General features: G+C 45.4%; 1 pseudogene; it reads left to right on the top strand.

The window, feature by feature from the left end:
- MYCLP1 (MYCL pseudogene 1) lies at positions 2199-6291 on the top strand (annotated as a pseudogene).

Consider the following 7367-nt stretch of genomic DNA (forward strand, 5'->3'; position numbering starts at 1 on the left):
ATTACATATGTATACATGTGCCATGTTGGTGTGCTGCACCCATTAACTCATCATTTAACATTAGGTATATCTCCTAATGCTATCCCTCCCCCCACCCCACCCCACCACAGGCCCCGGTGTGTGATGTTCCCCTTCCTGTGTCCATGTGTTCTCATTGTTCAATTCCCACCTATGAGTGAGAACATGCGGTGTTTGGTTTTTTGGAAGGAGCATTTCTTAACACATTTTTATGAGGTAAGTATTATCCTGAAACTAAACCCATATGCATCACAAAAATAAAACCAATGACCAATATCCTTTATTATTATTAAAGCAAAACACTAAACAAATTACAATACTAGCAAAATGAATCCGGTAACATATAAACAGAATTATATAATAATATGATGACCAAGTGGGATTTATCCCAGGAATGTAAGGTTGATTTAAACACTCAGCAATCTAGGAATAGAACTGAAATTCCTCAACCTGATAAAGAGCATGTATGAAAAACTCATAGCTCACATCATACTCAATGGTGAAAGACTGGAAGCTTTTCCAAAGGAATCAGTAACAACACAAGGATGTCTGCTCTCAATACTTCTATTCAACATTGTTCTGAAAGTTCTAACGAGAGCAATTAGTCAAGAAAAATAAAAGTCACTCAAATTACAAAAAGTAAAACCATCTTTGCAGACGATTTTTTGTTTGTTTGTTTGTTTGTTTTTTTTAGACAGGGTCTCACATTGTCACCAAGGCTGGAGTGCAGTGGCGCAATCTTGGCCCACTGCAGCCTAGTCCTCCCTGTCTCAAACCATCCTCCTACCTCAGCCTCCTGAGTAGCTGGGAACACAGGTGCTGGCCACCATGTACGATTAATTTTTGTATTTTTAGTAGAGACGGGTTTTTACTATGTTGGCCAGGCTGGAACTCCCGACTTCAGGTGACCTGCCCGCCTTGGCCAAGTGCTGGGATTACAGGCACGAGCCACCGAGCCCTGCTGACACAATCTTATATATAGAAAATCTTTTTTAAAAATTTAGGGCTAATAAGCTGGGCGTGGTGGCTCATGTCTGTAATCCCAGCACTTTGGGAGGCCGAGGCAGGTGGATCACTTGAGGTCAGGAGTTTGAGACCCTCCTGGACAACATGGCTAAACCCCGTCTCTACAAAAAATACAAAAATTAGCTGGGCATGGTGGCAGTCGCCTGTAGTTCCAGCTACTTGGGAGGCTGAGGCAGGAGAATCTCTTGAACCCGGGAAGTGGAGGTTGCAGTGAGCCGAGATAGCGTCACTGCATTCCACCCTGGGTGACAGAGCGAGACTCCATATCAAAAAAAAGAAAAAAAAATAGGGCTAATAAATGATTTAAGCAAAGACGCAGGATACAAGGGCAACATACAAAAATCATCATTTATATTTATATACACTAACAGTGAACAATCTGAAAAAGAAATATTAAAAAATTATAATTAAAATATCCGCACTGCAGGTGGAGCTCATTGGCTCATGCCTGTAATCCCAACACTTTAGGAGGCTGAGGCATACCGACCACTTGCGGTCAGGAGTCAAGACCAGCCTTGCCAACATGGCGAAACCTCGTCTCTACTAGAAATACAAAAAATAAAAATAAAAATAAATTAACCAGGCGTGGTGGCCCACGCGCCCCTGTAGTCGCAGCTACTTTGGAGGCTGAGGTGGGAGAATCACTTGAACTCGGGAGGCGGAGGTCGCAGCGAGCAGAGATTGAGCCACTGCACTCCAACCTGGGTGACACAAGAAAGAAAGAAAATGAAGGAAAGAAGAAGGAAGGAAAGAAAGAAGGAAAGAAGGAAGGAAGGAAGAAAGGAAGGAAGGAAGGAAGGAAAAAAATAGCTGGACATGATGGAGGACTAGCATTTCTCAATTTCAAAACGTACTACAAACCACACTAATCAAAACAATGTGGTACTGGCATAAGGATAGACATATAGATCAATGGAATAGAATTGAGAGTCAGAAACCCATACATCTAAGGTCAACTGATTTTCAAAGAGATGTCAAGACCATGCAATTGGAAAAGAATAATCTCTTCAACAAATGGTGCTGGAATACTTGGATACTCACATGCAAAAGAATGAAGCTGGGCCCTTACCTCACGCCATTTACAAAAAATAACTCAAAATGAACCAAAGACCTAAATATAAGAGCTAAAATTGTAAGCCTCTTAGAAATAAACAGAGGGCGGGTCGCGCGCTCGGTGGCGCGTTGTGCGCGTGTGTGGAGTGCCCTGCTGCCCCCAGCTGGAGGGGAACTAGTCTGCTCCAGGTGGCAAGCTGCGTGAGCAAGCAAGCCAACATGGACCGCGACTCGTACCATCACTATTTCTACGACTATGACGGCGGGGAGGATTTCTACCGCTCCACGACGCCCAGCGAGGACATCTGGAAGAAATTCGAGTTGGTGCCGCCGCCCTGGGACTTGGGTCCCGCAGCCGGGAACCCAGCCCTCAGCTTTGGTCTCCTGGAACCGTGGCCGGTAGGGTGCGCTGGGGACGAGACGGAATCCCAGGACTACTGGAAAGCTTGGGACGCGAACTACGCCTCCCTCATCCGCCGTGACTGCATGTGGAGCGGCTTCTCCACCCAGGAGCCGCTGGAGAGAGCGGTGAGTGACCTGCTTGCCGTTGGCGCGCCCTCGGGATACTCGCCCAAGGAGTTCGCCACCCCCGACTACACTCCCGAGCTCGAAGCCGGCAACCTAGCGCCCATCTTCCCCTGTTTGTTGGGCGAGCCCAAGATCCAGGCCTGCTCCAGGTCTGAGAGCCCAAGCGACTCCGAGGGTGAAGAAATCGACGTGACAGTAAAGAAGAGGCAGTCTTTGAGTACGCGGAAGCCAGTCATCATCGCGGTGCGTGCAGACCTTCTGGATCCCCGCATGAATCTCTTCCACATCTCCATCCACCAGCAACAGCACAACTATGCTGCCCCTTTTCCTCCAGAAAGCTGCTTCCAAGAAGGGGCTCCAAAGAGGATGCCCCCAAAAGAGGCTCTAGAGAGAGAAGCTCCAGGGGGAAAGGATGATAAGGAAGATGAAGAGATTGTGAGCCTCCCACCTGTAGAAAGTGAGGCTGCCCAGTCCTGCCAGCCCAAACCCATCCATTATGATACTGAGAATTGGACCAAGAAGAAGTACCACAGCTACCTGGAGCGCAAGAGACGGAATGATCAACGTTCGCGGTTCTTGGCCCTGAGGGACGAGGTACCCGCCCTGGCCAGCTGCTCTAGGGTTTCCAAAGTAATGATCCTAGTCAAGGCCACGGAATACTTACATGAACTGGCGGAAGCCGAGGAGAGGATGGCTACGGAGAAAAGGCAGCTCGAATGCCAGCGACGGCAATTGCAGAAAAGAATTGAGTACCTCAGTAGCTACTGACCAAAAAGCCTGACCATTCTGTCTTAAAAAGACACAAGTTTTCTTTTTGATCTCCCTCTCCCCTTTAGTAACTTGTACATTTTTGTTACAGCAGGACACTCTGGACAGTAGATTGCAGAATGCATTGCAGCCAGTGCACAAACAATATAAAGGCTTGCATTCTTGGAAACTTTGAAACCCAGCTCTCTCTCTTCCCTGACTTATGGGAGTGCTTTGTGTTTTCTGGCACCTTTGGCTTCTCAGCAGGCAGCTGACTGAGGAGACTTGGGGTCTTCCTGGCTCACTATCTCCAAAGAAAAGGCTGACAGATGGTATGCAACAGGTGGTGGATGTTGTTGGGGGCTCCAGCCTGGAGGAAATCTCACACTCTACATGAACTTTAGGCTAGGAAAGGATGTCTCTGGGGTGATGCAAGGACAGCTGGGTGTGGACGCTCTCCCTGCGGCTCCATTTTTTTCCAGGAGACACACAAGCTGCCTTGGGTGAAAACAAGCTCAGAGACTTGATCAACGTGGACCATTACCTCACTGTCAGACACTACAGTAGCTGAGGAGTTGGAAACCTTACATATATGTATATATGTATATATATATGTATGTATATATGTATATATGTATATATATATGTATGTATATATGTATATATGTATATATATATGTATGTATATATGTATATATGTATATATATATGTATGTATATATGTATATATTATGATGTTGGCTGACCCCCTTCCTCCCACTCTCAATGCTGTGACTCAGAACATTTAAGAGAACTTCGTCTGTAAGTAATTTGTCTTAAAGCCCTCTGGGCTCTCTTCTCTGAGTGAGGGAACTTTCTGTCTTCACAAGGGACTTTGTCTCATTCTGCCTCTGTTATGCAATGGGTTCTACAGCACCCTTTCCCGCAGGTTAGAAATATTTCCCTAAGACACAGGGAAATGGGTCTTAGCCTGGGGCCTGGGGAAAGTTCCCAAGCCCTGGCTCATGAACTCAATCCCTGCCCAGGTGTTTTCTGAGGGGCCCTTGAGGCCCAATCTTTTCTCAAGACAGGTGTGAGGCACCTTAGAAGGGAGAACTGTAACACTTTCTCTTTCGCACCTGCCTCTCATCTCAATCCTTGACTGATGAATTTGAAGTTCTACTAGAACCATGAAAACTTGTTCCTTTCGTGCATCTCCAAGGAGCTTGCTGGCTCTGCAGCCACGCTTGGGCCCTCGCACCAGCCTGCAATGAGTCAGATGTCTGTCACAGAATCTGGGCCTCTCTGAAGTTTTCTGGAGAGCTGTTGGGACTCATCCAGTGCTCCACAACGTGGACTTGCCTCCTGGTGTGTTTTAAAGGATCCTCCAGGAGCTCTGCTTAGCCAATCATCATGATGGATTTTTTTTTTTTTTTTTGAGACGGAGTCTCACTCTTGTCGCCCAGGCTGGAGGTTAATGGCATGATCTCGGCTCACTGCAACCTCTGCCTCCCGGGTTCAAGCGATTCTCCTGCCTGAGCCTTCCGAGTAGCTGGGATCGCAGGCGCCTGCCACCACGCCTAGCTAATTTCTGTATTTTTAGTAGAGATGGGGTTTCACCACATTGGCCAGGCTGGTCTTGACCTCCTGACCTCAGGTGATCCACCTGCCTCCATGATAGATTTTGCCCCAGCTGGACTCTGCAGCTCCACGTGGAATCCAGGTGCTGCCTCCAGTCTGGGAAAGTCACCCAACCCCGCAGTTGTCATGTGGGTAACTTCTGAAACCCCTAAGCCTGTCCTGTGAGAAGGACCAGCCTCTCCAGAACTCTGCCTAGGACAGCAGGTGCCTGCTTGGAAGTTGGGAGGATGGGGAGTGGTAAGTCCTATTATATGTGGCTCTGGAACACCAGCTGCTACTTCCAAATCTATTGTCCATAATGGTTTCTTTCTGAGGTTGCTTCTTGCCCTCAGAGAACTCCAGGGGATGTTTGGAAATAGCCTCTTTACCCTTCTGGAGCATGGTTTACAAGAGCCAGCTGACTTTTGAAACTGTCTATGGAACAGGTTAAGTGTAGGTTACTGATGTTTCACCTGAATACCTTGTATTTTATAAGCTGCTGTTTGGTATTATACTGGGGGAGAGTATTTTTTATATTTTTTTTTGGGTTTTGTTTTTGTTTTTGTGTTTTGAGACGGAGTCTCGGTCTGTCGCCAGGTCGGAGTGCAGTGGCACAATCTCGGCTCACTGCAACCTCCGCCTCCCTGGTTCAAGCGATTCTCCTGCCTCAGCCTCCTGAGTAGCTGGGATTACAGACATGTGCCACCACACCCACCTAATTTTTGTTTTTTTTAGTAGAGTCGGGGTTTCACCATGTTGGCCAGGATGGTCTCAATCTCCTGACCTCGTGATCCACCCATCTTGGCCTCCCAAAGTGTATATTGTATTTTTGTATGCCTTTTGCAAAGTGGTGTTAACTCTTTCTGTACAAGAAAAAAAAAACCTCTTGGGTAATTCTGTTAAAAGGGTCTGAATAGCTTGTGTTTTATAAGCTGCTGTTTGGTATTACACTGAGGGGGAGTATTTTTTACATTGTATTTTTGTATGCCTTTGGCAAAGTGGTGTTAACTCTTTTTGTACAAGAAAAAAATACTCTTGGGTAATTCTGTTAAAAGGGTCTAAATAACTTGTGTTTTATCAGCTGCTGTTTGGTATACTGGGGGGGAGTATTTTTTATATTGTATTTTTGTATGCCGTTTGCAAAGCAGTGTTAACTCTTTTTGTTCAAGAAAAAAACCTCTTGGGAAATTCCGTTAAAAGGGTCTGATTTATTTTGAAAAGCACGTTTACCTGAAATTTTGTATTTAGTTTTGATTTCTGATTGCCTGATTGTAAAATGTTGCCTTTTGGGACATCTTCTAATAAAAGTTTCATCAAACATGTTTTTTTTTAAAAAAGAAGTAAACATCTTTATGACCTTGAATGTGGTAATGGATTTTTTTTTTTTTTTGACAAGGTCTTGTTCTGTTTCCCAGGCTGGAGTGCTATGGCACAATCTCGGCTCACTGCAACCTCTGCCTCCCAGGCTCAAGTGATCCCCCGACCTCAGCCTCCCAAGTAGCTGGGACCACAGGCTCGAGCCACCACGCATGGCTAGTTTTTGTACTTTTGGTAGAGACAGGGTTTCACCATGTTGCCCAGGCTGGTCTCAAACTCCTGAGCTCAAGTGATCTGCCCACCTTGGCCTTCCAAAGTGCTGGGATTACAGGCGTGAGCCACCACACCTGGCCTAGTAATGGATCCTTAATAGATATGACGAGACCACAAACAACAAAAGAAAAAATACATAAATTCAACTTCAACAAAATTAAAACTTTTTCTTTTTTGAGACAGAGTCACTCTTCTCACCCAGACTGGAGTACAGTGGTGCGATTTTCGCTCACTGCAACTTTCCACCTCCCAGGTTCAAGCAATTCTCATGCCTCAGCCTCCCAAGTAGCTTGGATTACAGGTGCCCGCCACCACACCCAGCTAATTTTTGTATTTTTAGTAGAGACCGGGTTTTGCCATGTTGGCCAGGCTTGTCTCGAATTACTGACATCAGGTGATCTGTCCACCTCGGCCTCCCAAAGTGCTGAGATTCAGGTGTAAGCCACTATGCCCGGCCCAAAATTAAAACTATTAAGCACAAAGATACATCAAGGAAGTTAAGACAACCTACAGAATGAGAGAAAATATTTGCAAATCATATATCTGATAAGGTTCTAGTATACATATTATGTAAAGAAGCTGTACAACTTAACAACAAAAAAGACAAACTGATTTTAAAATGGGCAAAAGACTTGAATAGACATTTACTCAAAGGAGATATACAAATGACCAACAAGCACATGAAAAGAAGTTCAACGTTGTTAGTCATTAGGGAAAAATAATTCAAAACCATAATGACATAACACCTAACACACACTAAGATGGCTATAATTAAGAAAAAAAACCCAGAATATAGCAAGTGTTGG

This window comes from Homo sapiens, chromosome X, assembly GCF_000001405.40.
Source record: "Homo sapiens chromosome X, GRCh38.p14 Primary Assembly".
Lineage (NCBI taxonomy): Eukaryota > Metazoa > Chordata > Mammalia > Primates > Hominidae > Homo > Homo sapiens.